We start from the raw sequence: 18,722 nt of genomic DNA, 5'->3' as shown, positions 1-18,722 counted from the left end.
CCCCCCAGTTCCAGCCCATAACCTCCCCTGGAAATAGAAAGGTGGCCAAGGCTTATGAGAAAGAGTTTGTAAAAAAGTTTATATAGTGTGATCCCGTTTTTGGTAACAAAAAATTAAGTATCTGTAAATAGTATATTCAGTGCAAAAAAAAAAAAAAAACTGCGCTGCACAGGGTGGGTGAGGCAGTAAAGATGGGCAGCTCACTTTCCGTGCTGTGCAGCTTGTAAAATGGGCTGTTTTTAGTGGGCATGCATTGCTCCTGTTAGAGAAAAGGAAGAATATTACATTAAATCAACTCATAACTTAATATATTGGCTGCTTTTACATTGTATCTTTTCCTATTAAAAATCGCAATCTCACTTATCTGTTGTGTTTTTGAAAGTCTGTGTCACGCTAAACATCGAAAAAGGTACATGCACATTTTTCACTGAATTTCCCCTCGCGGTGCGTGTTTCCTGAAAATATTATTTCTGCTGAAATGAGTTCACAAGCTTAACTGCTCCTGTCCTTTAAAGGGCATTTTTACCAGTACTGTGAATTTATTAGTTCATTCTGCTGCTGTGAAAAAGAGTGGCCCAGAGAGGAAAGAAAGCAGAGGAGATGTTCTGTGTTCTGTGTGCGTTGTGTGGCTGCCCCGGCACCTTCATCAGGGCTGATTTACGTCCATCTAAAAGAGAAACCTTTGGTGGTGAATGGTGATTCAAGACCAGAGTAGCTGCCCTGTTTAAAAAAAAAAAAAAAAAGACACTTCCTCGGGGTTCTGGCTGCCAGTTCAGAAGGGAAGACCCCCCCTCCCAACCCCACTCTCAAACAGGCTTCCTGGTAACTTCGCATTTTGTCTGGAACCGGAATGCGTGTTCCCAAAGAAGCAACGTTGTGCAGGTGCTTCGACGCCAGCACAGGGAACGTCGTGTGTGGGATGAGCACCACCTCATTCTTGCTCTGTGCCGGCTCCGTCGGGGGCCGAGGTGGGCCTGGGTCCTTCTCCCTGCCGGCTCCGTCGGGGGCCGAGGTGGGCCTGGGTCCTTCTCCCTGCCGGCTCTGTCGGGGGCCGAGGTCGGCCTGGGTCCCCATCTCGCTGCTCTCGCGCCTGCTTTGTCATGTGGGCAGGGCTTCACCTTGAGGATTCCTCGTCTGTAGATGAGAATCACAGCAGTTAGCTACGTCAGAGGCCCGTGTGAGCATTGAGTGGGTTCATACACACACAGAGCTTGAAAGCACGCCTGGTACATAGTAAGAATTCAACAAATGTTACCGCCGTTACATGACTGCAGGCGTGTTTTGTGTGTGGTCCGTTGCATAGAAATGCTGTGTAAAGATTGCTGGGGAGGAGGGGCCTGCAGCTTAACTCTTTCTTCTCTAAATGTGCCGTTGTTGCTAAGCTGAGGAATACTACATTGGAGATCGCCCGTATAAGATAAAAAAAATGAAAGACCTTGTTGACTCACTTGCTTAAGGGATTCAGCAAATGATGAGCGGCACTGAAGCTGTGCAGGTGCAGTGTGGCTCTCTGTTAAGCCCTAGAACTGGAGGCTGTGAGGCTTGTTCACTACTTGATGTGTTTGTTTTGTGTGAATGTCCCAAGCCTGGCCTGGCTCTGCTTGTGGTCAGGAGTAGCAAACTGCAGATGTGTTCATGAAATTTATAGGAGCTGCTACTTCAAGGTGTTATGCGGGCAAGGCTTATGGAATGCTTTCCAGAGGCTGGAAATGCTATGACAAGTCAGTGGTGCAAATGGTTCAATGGAAGCCATAGTGTACATTCCTCGTGAGGCCACATTGCAAGGTCTGGCCTGCTTCTTTCCTTTTTGTTGGTGTGTTTGCATTGTTATAAAGGAATGTGTGAGACTGGGTAATCTATAAGGAAAAGAGGTTTATTTTGGCTCACAGTTCTGTAGGCTGTAAGAGAAGCATGGCTCCAGCATCTACTCAGCTCCTGGTGAGGCCTCAGGAAGCTTATGATCATGGCAGAAGGCAAAGTGGGAGCCTGCATGTCACATGGTGAGAGATTGAGCGAGCAAGAGAGAGAGAGAGGAGGTGCCCAGCTCTATTCTAAACAACTAGATCCCACGTGAACTCATAAAGTGAGAACTCTCGTGTTACTGCGAGAACAGGCCCACCTGCATTGTTGGACGTCACATTTCAACGTGAGATCTGCAGGCAACAAAACATCCAGACTCTGTTGTCCTTTAGTTTTATTTTGTTTCCCTTTTGCACGTCATCGTGGTATTGTATACACAGGTACGTATTTTGCTCCTTCCATATCTCCAAGAGAGGACTCTGCCTCCTTACATTCCTGGAGATCACTGAGATGGTCCCTCCTGGAATCCATATTCTTCATGAGACACACAAAGCTGTTTGGTCTTGAACACCATTTCACATGGGAACTGAGTTTGGAAGTTGATGAATGGGCGGATACCTTTATTAGCCATTTTTTAATGTACTGATATTGATTATTAAGGTGGATGTTTTTTAAACCCCCTCGAATTCTGCCTATGGGGACTGTTTCTTCCCTTCCTCACCTCATCTACCTACTTGGGATTTTTACTTCTTAGCAAGGTGTTGATGGAGATAAATATCATCTAAGTTTCTCAATAATACAGGGAACACAAATTGGACCAACAAATGGTGTTTTACTGAACAAATTGGGAAGCATTTTAAGTGTTGGCAAGAGTGCAGAGATGGGCACTGCTGAGCAGCTTGGCGCTGTGGTCAGATGCACAGATTCTGAAGCCAGACTGAGATTGGCGCTGGCTCCACTCCACAGCAGTGGCTTTGGGTAGCACTCAGCCCTCCTCGCCCCTGCCCCTGTCTGCTAAACAGGGAGGGTCATGGTGCTGCACCCATCTCCACAGGGTTGCTGTGCAGAATAGGTCATTAAATATATAACCACAACACAATACAGCCAGTGTGAGGTGCTTTTCTAGTAGATGAGAAAATAATACTCCTGTTCTGTTAGTGGGAATGCAAAGTATGTTATTTTGGGAGGATATTTAGGTCTTCTTAAAAATTTAAGTATATGTGCTTTGTGATGCTCCATTTTCTTTCTAGGTATGTATATTACAGATACATTTCCAGCTGTATAAAAATTGAATGAAAGAAAATATATGATCTTATATTTGTATTACTAAACACTGTGTGTAACAAACCAGCTGAATTCAGTGGTGCACACACCTACACAGATGCACACCCACACACAGACACATGGAAAGATCTGCAGATATGTTTAGTGAAGAGAGTGAGTTTTAGAATGTTGGGGTGATCAGATCCAACACCAGGTTGTTGGGGTGACAAAGTATGGTGGAGTCAAAGGAATGAGAAAAGACAGTTTGAGAGAGAAATTGGATCCGGGGGGCTATTGCGAGTATGGAGGCTGCGAAGGCCCTGAGCTCTGGAAGCCCAGACTATTTATTGGTGATCAAACAAAGAAACAGGTGTTGAGAATGTGGGGCTTGAAAGGGCAAGCGCATGATCTTACAGCTGTGACGGTTTAGCATTTTCTTTGAAGCATGTGGAACATATTCTGCTTGAGATAATGGAGAGCAGGTTCTTTTAACTCAGGATACAATCGACCCTGGGAGAGCAAGGAGCCAGCAAGTCTAGACACATTCCAGAGCCACAAGCCCTGGATTCTATCCAAGCCACGAGGGATTTTATGCCCTGGGCTTAGTTTATGGTGTGTCAGGGCAGCCTTCCACCCTTTAGCACAGAGCTTGGTGTTCCAAAGACCACAAGGGGTTTTAGACCGTGGACCCCAGACATGTTCTGAGACTCTTACATTATGTCAGACCTGCAAGCCCTGCCGCAGCTTCTCCCAACACTCAGCTTTTCTGCCAACATAGAATAAGCATCATCTTGATTCTGCTTTTCTTTTAAAAATCAATGTATTGGTATACATACATATTTTATACTTAACTGCATATCTAGGAGTCTAAACTTTGACATTAAAAAATCTGTATGTGGTTATTTGTGGGGCATAGGATTGGAGCAGAAACAGGGACTTTGCCTTTTGACTGTGATGTTTGCCTTGTTCATACTAAGAATGTGCTGACGTTGGTTGTGCTGTTTGCTTCTAAGTTTTTATAAAAAGAAGAGAGCAGTAGACTGATTCACTCAGTGTCCTGGGATCAGAGGCAAAGACCAGGGAGGGGCGGGCACTCAGGTCAGCAGGGGCTATGCTCTGGGTCTGAGTCCTGCCGAGCCCCACCACCCACTTGGGCAGTGAAGTCAACCTTTCTGTGCCCGAATCTTCTCATCTGAAAGTGAGGAATAATAGCCATAGGCTTATGGTGAGTTTTAAGCGAGTCCCTATGCATGAAAGAGTCAGAACCATTTGGCACACGGAGGGTACCCCTGGGGCACTGGTTTGCCATCTGGAGGGGGAGGCATCAGCACCACCAGGTCAGAAGTTAAGGGGTGGCCCCAAACACCACGTCTGTGGGGAGGTGGGGCTGTGAGGCTGCCAGTGTGTCAGGAGTACCCGCGCTTCTGTGCCTGCCTGTGTGCCGGGAGCTCCCGCGCTTCTGTGCCCACCTGTGTGTCGGGAGCACCCGTGCTTCTGTGCCCGCCTGTGTGTTGGGACCTCCTGCGCTTCTGTGCCTGGCTGTGTGTCGGGACCTCCTGCGCTTCTGTGCCTGGCTGTATGCCAGTGTCTTGCACATCTGCAAGGAAAGAATCCCGGGGCCGTGCGTTTTCTCCGACTAGCAAGGGAATCTATCAAATATGAATAAATGTACAGTGGAAGGTTAAATTAATGAAGGTTAACGTGGCTAATATGAACATATTCAGCCTCCTGGAACTATCATTGTATAAGCATAACTGAAAAGTTCCTATAGCAAACACAATTTGTAATCTTAACATATTCAATTATTAAATGTGCAGGTCTTATTTCTCGTTAACTGTGTTTAAACATAGAAAAGAGGATCTTGGCCAGGCACAGTAGCTCACGCCTGTAATTCCAACACCTTGGGAAGCCGAGGAGGGCAGATCACTCGAGGTCAGGAGTTCGAGGCCAGCCTGGCCCACATGGTGAAACCCCGTCTCTACTAATAGCAAAAAAATTAACTGGCTGTGGTGGCGGCGCCTGTAGTCCCAGCTATTCAGGAGGCTGAGGCAGGAGAATGGCTTGAATCCGGGAGGCAGAGGTTGCAGCGAGCCAAGATCACGCCATTGCACTGCAGCCTGGGTGACAGAGTGAAACTGTGTCTCAAAAAAAAAAAAAAAAAAAGGAAAGGGGGTTTTTGTGATTGAGACAATAAAACATACGTTTTTGGGCCCTGAGATAACTTTTTCCCTTCCGGCCCTTGCCCGGCAGGTCAGTGTTCTCAATCTTGGCTAGCCTAGCATTTTGCTTTCATGTGGCTTTTAAAAACAAAAATAAGTGTACCTTAAATTTTTATCACTAAGATAGCGTATTCCGGCTCTCGTAACAAAGTACCACACACTGAGTGGTTTAAACAACAGAAACTTGTCTCACTTCTGGAGGCTGGAGTTGGAGACCCCAAGGTGTCACAGGGCTGGGCGTCTGGACGTGCTGAGGGGGCCCACCCCAGGCCTGACCGCAGCCTCCCTCGGGTGCTGCTCAGCTCAGCCCAGGCCTCACCCCAGCCTCCCTCGGGTGCTGCTCAGCTCAGCCCAGGCCTCACCCCAGCCTCCCTCGGGTGCTGCTCTGCTCAGCGATCCGCCCTGGGCCTCACCCCAGCCTTGGGTGCTCAGCTATCCTGGATGGGTACCTGTCACTCCAGTCTCTGCCTCCATCGTCACGTGAGCTTCTCCCTGTGTCAGGACCTCTCTTTTCTCTTACAAGGACAGAGTAATTGGATTTAGGGTCCATTCTAACCCAGTATGACCTCATCTTAACCTGGTCATAAGATGGCCCTGGCTTACGGTGGCTCAACTTCAATTTCCGCCTTTACAATGGGTTTATCAAGTTGTAAGTCCAGGGGCATCTGTGTCTGAACAGCCCCTGCATCCAAATAAGCTCACAGATACAAGGGGTGATCTTTTGCGGGGACACGATTCAACCCACAGCAGATGCTGAAGCTCACAGTGCCTGACTTCCACGCTGATCTTTGTAGAGGACTCTTGTAGGGTGAGGGGATGGTGCAGGGTGAGGGGATGGTGCAGGGTGAGGGGATGGTGCAGGGTGAGGGGATGGTGGCAGGACCACTGACAACACCTGTGTTTTCATTTTGAAGTTTTGATTTGTTTGGGGTCTCTAGGAATTAAAGGCCAGGAGGATAATGGAAAGCCCGGGGATCTGAGCTCGCCCTATCTAGGTAGTTCCGTGTGGGTTTTCTTATTTGGGGAGACTTTTCTTTTATATCTGGTTAGCTCTATCCTTTTTGATTCTTACATCTAGAATAATTCTTTTTCCAGAGTCTTTCATGCTTTTTTCAATACACCAGTTACTTCATTCAAATGAGATCTCCTTTTCCAAATATTAACTTTTATGTTTCCCCATTTATGTCTTCAGTTTCATTATAAACCATAATATTTTAAAGTTAAACAGCTAACTTATAGTCCAGCTTTTAGGTCTGAAGTGCGTTAAAGATTTATAAATGGAAAATTACAGAAACAATGTGTACCTAAATTGTGGTGACTCACTTAGATAACCGTTGAGGAATTGTTAGTTTTCAGGAATGTAATCCGTGATCTTAGATTTTAACTTATTTGTTCGCAAATTCAGTCAGCAGCTATTCATTGCTAGACATTTTCCAGGGCTGGGATGCAGCAGTGAGCAAAACAAACTGTGGCCGCTCTTGGGAGAGTTGGGTCTGAGGGAGGAGGTCGCACAGGTAGTCAGAGGTGTGTGCTGTGGGGTGGGCACACTGGGTGGGGGGTGTTTTCTGAGGGGACAAGAAGTCCCCTGGAGACAGGGAGAGGGCCGTGTGGACGTCTGCCGGAGGAACGTCCTGGGTAGCAGCGAGAACCAGCACAGAAGCCCCAAGGCGGGAGCAAGCTGGGGTGTCCGGCAGAGGAGGTGGGGTGGGCCCCAGCGTGGTGAACGTGTGCGCAGTGGTCTTCTGAAAACTGCCTTATGCGGACCCGTCTTCTCCTGACCCACAATGCATTCTACAGCTTGCCTGCCACCCAAATAGTTTTCCTTAGAACTTGGCAGCCACAATGGCACAGCGTAAATCTTATTTTAGATTCTTATAAAATTGGGCATACGCCCAGGCAGTCTGCATCTGAATTGAGGCTGGACAGTCAGGATTTCCATCATTGCTGTTCAGTGGTTTTGTCTGCATTCTTGGAGTGGATGCACCACCCTCCAGACATTTGCAAAACTAGAAGAGCAGACCGTGGAGTGAGCAGGAGCCGGGAGGAAAGAGAGAGCTGGTCTGTGCAGGGCCTGGAGGGAGGGGAGAGAGAGCTGGTCTGTGCAGGGCCTGCATAGAGGGGGCAGGAGAGGAGCTGCGTTGGTAGTTTACGGGTGTTCTTGGGATTCCCTGGGAATGTAGAGGCGGAAGCAGTAGACTCGCTGCCAGCTGTTCATAAACAGAACGAGCATCCCCTAATGCAGCCACATGGGCAGCCAGCACTGTGCCTGGGGTGCCAGCACTGTGCCCAGAGGTGCCCAGCCTGCCGCATGTGTGCTGACTGCACATCTGTGATTGTGATGGCTTATCTGCTCCTGCATATTCAAGTTAAAAACTGTCATTACAGGCCCACGGATGACAGTAACCAGCCCCCGGGCCGGGGTGTCCTCTCCATGCATGGACTGACCTATGGGGTCATTCGTGTGGACTCGGAAGAGAAGCTGTCCGTGCTCACCGTGCAGGATGTCGGCCTCGTGATGCCTGGAGGTGAGTGTGGGTCGCGAGCTGCACAGATTAACCAGTTATTAAATGCTTTTCTAACACATGTCACCAAAGCCTGCGTTCCCACGTTCCCGCGTTCCCGTGGTGTGCCCTCAGGCTGAGAGCCTCACTCCCAGTCTTCTGAAGTCTTTGTTAGGCTTCAGACATTTGAGGCAGTGTTCCCTCTCCTGGTAGACGATCAAGAAGATGGGGAAGGGCAGCTTTGCACACTGGGACCTCAGGCTGCTCTTCCCTGGAAGGCTTCGGGGCCAGTGCAGGGTCCACACTGGTGCCTGGGCAGCTTCCCTTCCCTCCCCCAGAGGACGTGCCCATCTGTCACCCTAAGGCACTAGCCAGAGTGGGAACAGCCAAGCTCGGCTTCCGCCAAGGCAGACACATGTGAAAATCAAGGAATGTGAGTTTGTGTGACCATGAAACCTGTTTTCAGCAGTAGAGACCTTTTTCCAAGTCTCAGAAGCCTTTTCCACAGATGCATGAGGAAGCGCCCAGCTGCAGGGCCCGCCGTGCCTCCCCACCAGCCCCACGAGGAGCGCCCAGGCACCTCCCAGGAGCCGCTTTACCATTCTTAGGGTGCACACGCTTGGCGCTCAACTCATGGGGTCACAGGCAGCATCAGCCCCTGGCTGTTTGGCCCCAGAAAGGGAACCCGTCTCTTTTCTCAGCTGGGAATCCTGGAGCCTGTGTCTCCTGCTGAGCCCTCCAGGCATGGGGTGTGGGCTCAAGCCCAGCAGGGTAGCCATGCCTGTGCGAGCAGTGCTGCCGCCTTCAGCAGCAGGTGCAGGGCGCCAGGTCAGGTGGGCCTCAGCAGGGACCCTCGCCCCATGGAGTCTCACAGAGGCAGACCCCTCATGCCCCTTCATGGTGAGCTGCGCTAGGGCCAGGCACTCCAGAAGCTGTCTCGCCTTTCTGTTCGGCCTGTTTGGCATAAAAGAAATGAAGGCAGCCCGTGGCTTCCCTCCTCCTCACTACTCCCTGATTCCCTGCGGACGCCCTCCAGCATCCCCGCAGCTCTGCCTCTGCCTGCAGCCCTCTAGCCCCTGTGTCCAGCCCACTCCCTGCCTCCCAGCTGTGGCCAGGCCCCCCTGGCTCCATTTCTTTAATATTTAATTTTCAAATAAATGGAACTGCATGGTGAAATCTTCAAAAGGTTCTGAAGGACACAATGAAAATGCTCCTTTGTGACTGTGAGAACAACCGCGGGCTTCCCAGGCCCCTGTCAGAGGCACCTGGGGCTGTGCAGCAGTGAGAGCAACCGCGGGCTTCCCGGGCCCCCGTCGGAGGCACCTGGGGCTGTGCAGCAGTGAGAGCAACCGCGGGCTTCCCGGGCCCCCGTCGGAGGCACCTGGGGCTGTGCAGCAGTGAGAGCAACCGCGGGCTTCCCGGGCCCCCGTCGGAGGCACCTGGGGCTGTGCAGCAGTGAGAGCAACCGCGGGCTTCCCGGGCCCCCGTCGGAGGCACCTGGGGCTGTGCAGCAGTGAGAGCAACCGCGGGCTTCCCGGGCCCCCGTCGGAGGCACCTGGGGCTGTGCGGCAGTGAGAGCAACCGCGGGCTTCCCGGGCCCCCGTCGGAGGCACCTGGGGCTGTGGAACAGAAGCCTGCACCCCCACCCCGTGTGTGTCCTCTGCCCTGGGTTCCGGGGTTTTCTCACGTCATGATGGAGTACTGCGTACATACGCATGTTTTATCCTGAGGGTCCTTTGTCAGCGCGTAACGAGCTCCGCGGTGTTCTCAAGGCAGCACAGTGCTACCTTGTGGGGGCACTAAGTTTATTTGAGCCCCCCCGTTTGGTGAATTTCCCTCTTTTGCTGCTGCAGTGAGTGACCCCCTCGTGTCTAATGGAAACAGTTCTAGAAGTGGGAGTTGTGTTTCAAAGAGAACTGCCGATGTGATTTTTGTGATTGTCTTTTCGAAGGTTGTGAAGCTGTACCCTGCCGAGCGGTAAGCAGCAGCACTTCTTTCTCCACTCCTTACCCACCGTGTTACCTGACTTTTGTTTTTACCAATCTGATGGGTGAAGAATCTTTCAGTGTAAATTTAATGTGAACTTTTTTTTTTTTTTTTTCTGAGACGGAGTCTCGCTGTCGCCCAGGCTGGAGTGCAGTGGCGCGATCTCGGTTCACCGCAGGCTCTGCCTCCCGGGTTCACGCCATTCTCCTGCCTCCGCCTCCCGAGGAGCTGGGACTACAGGCGCCCGCCACTGCGCCCGGCTACTTTTTTGTATTTTTAGTAGAGACGGGGTTTCACCATGTTAGCCAGGATGGTCTCGATCTCCTGACCTTGTGATCCGCCCGCCTCGGCCTCCCAAAGTACTGGGATTACAGGCGTGAGCCACCGCGTCCGGCCTTAATGTGAATCTTTCTTCCTGTGAGTTTAACTTATGTTTCCACTGTTCTGTACTCCAGCCCAGCGGGTGCCGGCTGTTTTAGGCTCTTTCTAAACAGCTCAGCTGTCACTAATGCACACTCCACCCTTCTGAAGCCTGAGGCTCTTGGCTCCCTAATCAGATTTGTGGATTGCAGTTGGGGGGTATGTAGGATGTTGTTGGGCAAAGCATGAAAGTGTTGGTGGCACAGACCAGTGAGAACTTATCAGCATTGAACCGTGTGCAAAGCGCTCCAGTGGTGTTCTCGGAAGGGCTCACCTTGCACGGAGTGTGAAATCGAAGATTCAGATTTCCATAAGACATTAGAGGCTTGATTTGCAGAGGTCAAGTTGCACCACGTTGCTGATGTCTGGTGTGGCAGGTGGTCCTGATGTTAGTTCTGAGGTTCCTCCCCATATCTAAATGGCAGATGATGTCACGCCCCTAAATACAACTTGCGCATTAACATTAAAGCAATTGAAATATTTATTGATGTTTCAACTATGAAATTTGACATGTTGCTGCAACAGGAAAACTCATGGCTCTTTAGGGAAAATGAGTGCCTGGCTGACTACCATCCGTGCAGTTTTGCTCCAGACCCCATTCCTGTTCACTGGTGTCGTTCATATTCGCGTCTTCCCTGTTTCCTTTATTCTCCCCACCTGCCCCCTCTCACACTGCATGTGCTTTCCTGTTTGCTTTTAGCCATCATGTGTTCAGTGAAGCCAGACGGGGTTCCTCAGCTGTGCAGAACGGATGAGATCGGGGAGCTGTGTGTGTGTGCAGTTGCGACGGGCACGTCCTACTATGGCCTCTCTGGCATGACCAAGAACACCTTTGAGGTAGGTGGAGGAGAGTCTTACCATGGGCACCATCTGTGGCTCCGTCTCCAAAGAGCCCTTGCCAGGTGCATAGTGATAGACGTGGAATGTAAGATCCATTTTAGCAAGACGTGTTTATATGAATGAAAACGATGGCACTTTACCACTTTTTATCGCTTTTGATAAATTTGTTTTATCAGCATTGTTCTGACCTTATAACCAGTGTTTAAAAGAATAAGCATGCTTTAAAAAGGATCCTTTTTGTTACTTTTCTCACTTTTACTGTGAAAAGTGGATCATTATTGAACGTGCACTTGTGTGCGTGAAGGGCCTTGCCTGGGGAAGCCAAGTGGAGCCCCTTTACAGCCCCTTGGCCTGGGCTACACGTGGCCAGGTACGAACCCTCGCCTGGGGAAGCCAACTAGAGCCCCTTTACGGCTCCTCGGCCTGGGCTAGATGTGGCCAGGTATGAACCTGTGAGAACTCGAGCACACGTGTATGTAACGATCTCAGTGGCACAAGCAAGTATGCATGTGGTGTACACAGATGCGTGTGTAATGTGCGTGCATGGGGCGTGTGCACAGATGTGCTGTGTAATGAAGGGCTCAGACACACGTTCAGTGCTGCAACTCAGAACTCTTATCTTTTTACCAAGTAGGTCCTGGCCTTAGAAGTAGCACAACATTTAAGTTATATGTAAGAAAATATAAATTGTTTGGGGATACATTTCCTAAATGTTTAGAACTTTTGGTTGTTGTTGAGACAGGGTCTTGCTCTGTCACTCAGGCTGGAGGGCAGTGGCACGTTCACAGCTCACTGCAGCTTCAAACTCCTGGGCTCAAGCCATCTTCCTGCCTCAGCCTCCGAGTCACTGGGAGTACAGGCGTGTGCCACCACACCTGAATAATTAAAAAAAAAATTCTTGTGTACATATGGGGTCTCATGCTGTTGTCCAGGCTGATCTCAAACTCCTGGCCTCAAGCAATCCTCCCATCTTAGCCTCCTAAAGTGCCGGGATTACAGGCATGAGCCACTGTTGCTGGTCTAAATGTTGAGAACTTTGGATGTGGCTGAACAGATGTTACAGTACCTGTCTATGATAGCTTTCTTGAGTGTGAATTCAACTTTCTAAAATATCCCTCGAAACTGAGCTGGATACAAATCTAAATAAAAACTCCATCTCCGTTTCTCTGGTTTATCTGCAAGGGTGGAGGAAAAAAGAGGGTTAGAGTTTGAACTGATCTGATTTGCTTCCTTAATATTTTTCTTTTCAGCATACTTCCAACAAGGGCAAATAACATTTTATGAATGAAGAGAGATTACTTTAAAACTAACAGACGTTGTTTAAAATGTACCTTGACTCTTCACTCGTCTTTTACATTGTGGTTTTGTAAACCAAGTAATCAGTTACTGCTGATTGGCCTCCTGTGAGACTTCTGGGTGTTATCTGTTCAGGGTTCAGAGGCAGGAGGCTCCAGCAGGTGAGTGGAGGTGCAGGAACGGATGGGGTCCTGCTGAGGTGGGCAGGAAGTGCTTTTCTGCCTCGAAGACTGTTGGCCACCAGCGGTCACTGTGACCTCGGCCCTAGGGCAGGGTTGCTGGGGTGAAAGGCAGAGCTTAAGCAAAGCAGGTGCCGTGCTCCCAGGAGTAGCGGCGAGGATTAAAACCAGCTGACCACATGAACAGTGGCCTGATGGATGCTGTTTCCCCCAGGTGTTTCCCATGACAAGCTCCGGGGCTCCGATCAGTGAATACCCATTCATAAGGACAGGCTTGCTGGGGTTCGTGGGTCCCGGAGGCCTCGTCTTCGTGGTGGGCAAGATGGATGGCCTCATGGTGGTCAGCGGGCGCAGGCACAACGCCGACGACATCGTGGCCACTGCGCTGGCCGTAGAACCCATGAAGTTTGTCTACCGGGGAAGGTCAGTGGCGTTCTGCAAATCAAGCATATGGTTTCCGGTCGGCCATATTTTTTATGTGGTTTTGAAGGGTTGAAAGTTGCACAGTTTCCTTAAATGTATTGTGTCTCCGTTTCCTCTTCCATGTTATTGAAGCAACTGGACTCTGACCTCTGAGATTTAATCCAGTTCTGAATGTCCAAGATTTTATAGAAATTCCCTGAGCTCCATAAATATATTTCCATTGAACTTCCCCTCTAAGTATAATAGAAATATGCATTAGAAAACTTATTTCTGATAAATAACTGCACAAATTAAAGATCCAGATATCCATCGTGGAGCGGGTTGGAGAGACCCAAGGACAATGGTTCAGTCACAGACTTGTGTGAGTGCAGACGCTCGCCACCTCCCCGCTCTACCAGTTTTCTTCTCCCTGCCTTGCCTGGTGCACAGTGGAGGCTCCGTGATGAAATAAGTTGCCACGGTTCCTGAGTTTTTGCCAATCTGGAGGAAGTCATAAAGTGTTTTAGAGCCTTTTTTCAGTTTGGAAGCTGATGGGAGCAGGAAGTAGATACCTGGATATGATGTTGCTGCCTTTGAATTATCTTTACAGCTACAATCTCTTTTACTGGAGGTGACTGTGCTGTGCTGACAGTATAAGGCACATACACTTAGCAGAAAATCACTAGTTCTGAAACGGCAAATTTCTACTGATTTGGAGACCGTTAACTTCACGGGTGCAAACTCGAGCTGTGAAGGGTGTGACTCCCTAAATTTCAGCAGGTCTGATCATTGCGCATTTGCCCCTCTGTACCGAAAGGCGCAACCTGGTCACCAGAGCCCGCGGGTGCTGTGTGTGGCCTCCGTGGGGATCAGGGTGACCTTGCCTCGGCAGCATCCCTGGGCGCCTCCCACAGTTCTTCCCGTACTGATGAGTGTGGGGAAATTCGGAAGTACAGCGGCCGTTTTGAAGTCGTAGTTGGAGCTGTGTCACTCACTAGTGATGGTTATGGAGCCCCTGATGGCGGAGGGAGGGCTGCATGAGCGTCCCCGGCGCGTGCTCACCATGCTCCTGTGTCCCCGCAGGATAGCCGTGTTCTCGGTGACCGTGCTGCACGACGAGAGGATCGTGATCGTGGCTGAGCAGAGGCCTGACTCCACGGAAGAGGACAGTTTCCAGTGGATGAGCCGTGTGCTGCAGGTTGCCCTCCCTCGCCCTGGGCACTGGTCCCCTGTGTCTTGTTTCTGGCCTCCTTACTTCATTCAGATCATGGTGTGACCAGCTGTTGCTTTGCCCATGGGGTGGCCCTTTTTCCCTTCCCTTCATTTGATCAGGAACTACATCAAGTGTCCAGAAACTAGCTCAGCAGATCGAGGGTGTAGGGACCAGGAATTTGCACAGCTGGTTCCTACCGGACACCTTGGGGAGGTCGAAGTAAGCTTTTTGTTTGATCTTGAGAACATGTTATCTTTTCTCCAAAGTTCCTTTTTTACTGTGTATGGTCTTCCACAAGCCCTGGGTAACATTATTCAGCTTTGGTGAGTTTAGTAGGAAAATCCTTTCTCTTACCTTGGCATTTTTATGCTGGGAACAGTGCTTATACTGCACAGACTTCTGTGTATTGTGGATCATATTTTGCATAATATAAATACGTACTGTTTATACTTCCTCTTATAACATGATTTCCTCTTTATTAACTTTCTAGGCGATTGACAGTATACATCAAGTTGGAGTTTATTGCCTGGCCTTGGTGCCAGCAAACACCCTCCCCAAAACCCCGCTTGGTGGGATCCATTTATCAGAAACAAAACAGCTTTTTCTGGAGGGCTCTCTGCACCCCTGCAATGTCCTAATGTGCCCCCACACCTGCGTCACAAACTTGCCTAAGCCTCGACAGAAGCAGCCAGGTATGTGCACCACTTGGGCAGCTTGTGAGGTGCGGGAGTTCCCTTGGGGCTGCACGGCACTGGGAGGTGCGGGAGTTCACCCAGGGCTGCTTGCAGGAAGCTGATGCTTGCGGGAAAGAAGTGGTTACCCCAAGAAAATAGAATGGGTGGGGGCAACTTGGATTCTGGTCTTCTGGCTGTAAATGCCTTGCTTTTATTCTCTGTAGGCTCAGGGGTGTTAGTGTGGTCGTCAGCACGTAACTTACTGGCTCTGTTCTCCCGTAGCAAAAGCTCATTCTCCTGAAGGACACGGCCACGGTGCTCTCACTTTCTAAGCACATTGGGTTCACACGTATGGTTGCTCTTTCATTTCTGACCTACTTCTAATTTTTTTCTTATGTTGCAGATTTCCTTAAATATTCCTCCTCCATTTCTTTTTTTTTTCCCCCACACCATTGTTCTCATGGTCTCTGGTGTTTGATTGGCACAGTTTGTTTCCGCCCCCTCCCACACACGGCTGTTCTCATGGTCTCTGGTGTTTGATTGGCACAGTTTTCCCCCCACACTGTTGTTCTCGCGGTCCCTGGTTTTTATGATTGACACGGGGAATGTGGAGTTGCAGGGAACAGTATCCATTTCACCACATTCTGTGGGTGCGTGGCCTTCTGTTGGGAGCCGCTCAAGCCATGGGCATCGTCCCTCAGGGAGTGCTCTGAAAGGGTGGAAAACGCTGCCTCTGTCTGCCGCCTCGGGACGTAAACAGCCTTGTGAAGGACACGGAGGCAGTTGCTCTCCCCAGGCTGTTTCTGTAGTATGAAGATTTATAATGGTGTCAGCGCTCTCCAGGGTATCCTCATTGTAAACTCCGAAGTGACCTGATCCTCTCTCCCCACTGTTTGATTGTCAGACACTCTCAACCCAGCAACCCCAGTGACCCACGGTCCCAGCTGGGAAGTAGTTCAGTAGCTGGTGGAGACAGGGTTCAGACAAGTGTTTATGGAAGGAGGAGGATCCTTTGCAAATACAAAGCTGTAATGACTCCATAGCTACAGGGCTCGGCTCACCTGAGCCAAATGTCGAGAAGCCCAGTGACCGGGAAAACCCAGGCGAGAGAGAGCAGCCAGCAGCCTCACGCCGAGGTCAGGAAAACCCAGTGGGGAGACAGAGCCAGCAACCTCACACTGCGGTCAGGAGTGTGACCTCCTGCAGAAAGCCCTCTTCCTTAGGAGTTTAGCTGGGGAATAGTGGCCCAGGAGATTGGAAATCTTTTTACTCTAATAATGTACTTCATTAAATGAAGCTTCATGTGATTGATAACTTGAAAGAAAGAAAATAGTATATATATATTTAGTGTCTCATCTGTTTTTGCTAAACTGAGAGGTTACATAATTTTGTGTCTTTAAAAAGCTTTTTAACAAATATTAACTGGCAGAGCTGAGGCCCTACGTCTCTGCTGAGGGCCTGATACGCAGCTTAGCAGACGTCCCCTGCCCCGGGGCCCCAGCTTCGAACCACAGAGAAGGGAATTGGGCTGGATGATTTCTAAGGCCCCTTCGAATAAACATTTAAAATGACCCTGACAGGTGAGTAGCCATTATTGGAAGCCAAAGCAAACATTCGTTGAGGCCATTTGTGGGTGACAGTGTTCTGAGATGCTGGAAACAGAGACAGCCTATTGACACCCAAATTGCCTTTCTTACTGCATGAATTCATATTTACTCAGTTAATGGCACTGTGTACCCTCAGATTATCTTATTTGAGCACAAAAGTATTAAGAGACCTTTAACTCAGCAGCTGAGCTGGCAAAAATATTACAGAGTTACAAAACAAGGTACAATTCCACAGCTTTAAAGGTCCCTGGGAATATTGCCCCCGAATAGCAGGAAGAGTCTGCTGAGGCCAGAGCCTGGCACCTGGGAAGGGCTTGCCTCCCACTTGGGATTTGTGTGTCTCGCTGCTGTCTTTGAGATAAAACTCCCGCCCTGTGCCCTGAGCGAATTCGCCAAGCATTGCATGGTAGGATATTTGATAATACCAGCGATGCGGCTGCCGACTTGCAGATGGGTGAATCCATTAATGGGAGCGGGAAGAGAAAAGAGACATGAGCCTCAAATACACACGTTTTGGGATTCCTCTCAACTCTGTAGCTTAAATGGCGAGGCTGTGATATACCCTGGGGGCATTTGGGACATGCCCACCTCTCTTCAACAGGGGACACTGTCAGCTGCTGCCAAGAACAGACTTTGAGAGTGAGGTGCAGCTAGAAGGCCTCTGCCTCCCAGGAGCAGTCGGGAAAACAGGCCCTAGTCTGCATGGGGAGGCATTCAAGGTCCCAAACTTCCATTCAGAGGATGCACGTGGAGATGAGGGAACGTGCTACGTCTTCATGTAGCAAACGGGCACAAAATAAGGCTCCACAAAAAGCCTGATCTCTCCTCAAAAGCTCGCTTTCCCTACCCCAGTCTGAATTCTTAAAAACATTACGGGAAACCTTGGAACCCATTTAGGCCAGTTTCCAAGTTGACTTCTTAGAAGAGCCGTCTCGTCTTGCCCAGCATCGGTCACCAAGGAGAAGGCTCAGAGCTTCATCAGCCAGGCGCAGTGGCTCACGCCTGTGGTCCCAGCAATGCGGGAGGCCAGGATGGGAGAATCAGTGGAGCCCAGGACTTCGAGACCAGCCTGGGCAACATAGTCAGATTCTGTCTCAAAAAAAATCTGTTAAAGATGCTTCATTCAGAAGACGCTTCTATCTGGTAGAGATAGAGGATGCGCAGCGGGTGAATGAGGGTCTCCCGGGTGTTGTGTTCTGAGATCGTGCAGGGGCTCCCAGGTGTTTGGAGATCACAGAGGGGCAATTGTTCCCACCACGGGGCAGCTCCCTTCCTTCCAGAGCCTGACAAATTCTTTTGCTAAATGTGAAAAGGCTATTCCTCTTCCATACTTCATTAAGAACTAAGAAAAGAAATTCAGTCTGTTCACAACTACGACGTGAAAATTCAAAAATGATTTGCCGAGTGTAGGAGGCATCTTACTGTTACACAGAGTCCAGACTCGAGGCTCCTACACGTCGCCTAGAACCCAAGGCACCGGCAGGCAGCAGCCCAGACATCTGCTCATAGACCGTTCTCCTCCAGATTTCAATCCTGGCTGAAGTGCCGTGCCTTCTCCTGCGCAGCTGTGATAAGTGGAATCGTTTCTGGCAGCCTGCATTTGAAAAGGATGGCCGTGCATCTGTAGAGAGCCGGTGGCCCTGCTCTCCCTGGGGGCCGGCTAGAGGACGTCAGGCCCTGACTGCCTTGTTCTGGTGCCACCATTTCCGTGAGCTTTTTGGGAAGCCGAGGGACATCGGTTGTCATGGTGATGGGCTCATCCGAAGCCTTGTTCTGTGCCACTGCCCCGTCAGCTGCATCTGGGCACGTGTGTCTGTTTTTGACACGGCTATGAGCAACCTGCTTAGCCATAGCCCTGCTTGTGCAGTAACTAATGCAGCATGTGGCCTGGCTTAGAAACCTGTTACTTGACCTTTATCGGGAATTTAAGAATTTGATTTAATAGTAGCCTTCAAACCAAGGATTAGGCATAAATTGATCATATCATTGTTATTTTACCTGCAATTCTTTTGGTAAACATTCTTTTACTCTCCCTGCTTCCTCTGCTCCTCCCCCTGCCCATCCCCCATCCCTCTGCCCCCTCCAATCCCCCGTCCCCCACCTCCCACCCCCGTCCCCCACCTCCCACCCCCGTCCCCCACCTCCCATCCCCCATCCCCCGTCCCCCACCTCCCACCCCCGTCCCCCACCTCCCATCCCCCGTCCCCCACCTCCCATCCCCCGTCCCCCACCTCCCACCCCCGTCCCCCACCTCCCATCCCCCGTCCCCCACCTCCCACCCCCGTCCCCCACCTCCCACCCCCCCTTCTTCCCCACTTTCCC

The 18,722-nt window shown here is 50.2% G+C and overlaps 1 protein-coding gene across 9 annotated transcripts in view, besides 3 other annotated features; it reads left to right on the top strand.

Moving 5' to 3' along the window:
- Positions 1-18,722, top strand: part of DIP2C (disco interacting protein 2 homolog C) — a 415,468-nt gene that overhangs the window by 312,368 nt on the left and 84,378 nt on the right. For 7 of the 9 annotated variants that reach the window (NM_014974.3, XM_005252427.5, XM_005252426.4 and 4 more), the window contains 5 exons: positions 7,668-7,807; positions 10,890-11,026; positions 12,719-12,927; positions 13,990-14,104; positions 14,610-14,811. In NM_014974.3, the coding sequence (NP_055789.1) occupies positions 7,668-7,807; positions 10,890-11,026; positions 12,719-12,927; positions 13,990-14,104; positions 14,610-14,811 (803 nt within the window). Of the gene's footprint in view, positions 1-4,110; positions 4,289-7,247; positions 7,341-7,667; positions 7,808-10,889; positions 11,027-12,718; positions 12,928-13,989; positions 14,105-14,609; positions 14,812-18,722 lie in introns of those variants that run through there. The other 2 variants (XM_011519433.4, XM_005252430.4) reach the window with 2 other exon arrangements.
- Positions 3,959-4,466: an enhancer, noted in NCBI's record as "H3K4me1 hESC enhancer chr10:418775-419282 (GRCh37/hg19 assembly coordinates)". NCBI's record gives its function as "activates a minimal SCP1, AML or CMV promoter by ChIP-STARR-seq in primed H9 embryonic stem cells {active_cell/tissue: H9 hESC(primed)}" and the evidence as "EXISTENCE:reporter gene assay evidence [ECO:0000049][PMID:30033119]".
- Positions 7,208-8,147: an enhancer, noted in NCBI's record as "H3K4me1 hESC enhancer chr10:415094-416033 (GRCh37/hg19 assembly coordinates)". NCBI's record gives its function as "activates a minimal SCP1, AML or CMV promoter by ChIP-STARR-seq in naive H9 embryonic stem cells {active_cell/tissue: H9 hESC(naive)}" and the evidence as "EXISTENCE:reporter gene assay evidence [ECO:0000049][PMID:30033119]".
- Positions 12,306-13,505: an enhancer, noted in NCBI's record as "MED14-independent group 3 enhancer chr10:409736-410935 (GRCh37/hg19 assembly coordinates)". NCBI's record gives its function as "activates an origin of replication core promoter dependent on BRD2, BRD4, P300/CBP and CDK7 cofactors, and independent of MED14, by STARR-seq in HCT116 cells {active_cell/tissue: HCT116}" and the evidence as "EXISTENCE:reporter gene assay evidence [ECO:0000049][PMID:35650434]".

Source organism: Homo sapiens, chromosome 10 (assembly GCF_000001405.40).
Source record: "Homo sapiens chromosome 10, GRCh38.p14 Primary Assembly".
NCBI lineage: Eukaryota > Metazoa > Chordata > Mammalia > Primates > Hominidae > Homo > Homo sapiens.
This window is presented reverse-complemented; position numbering and strand designations above follow the sequence as displayed.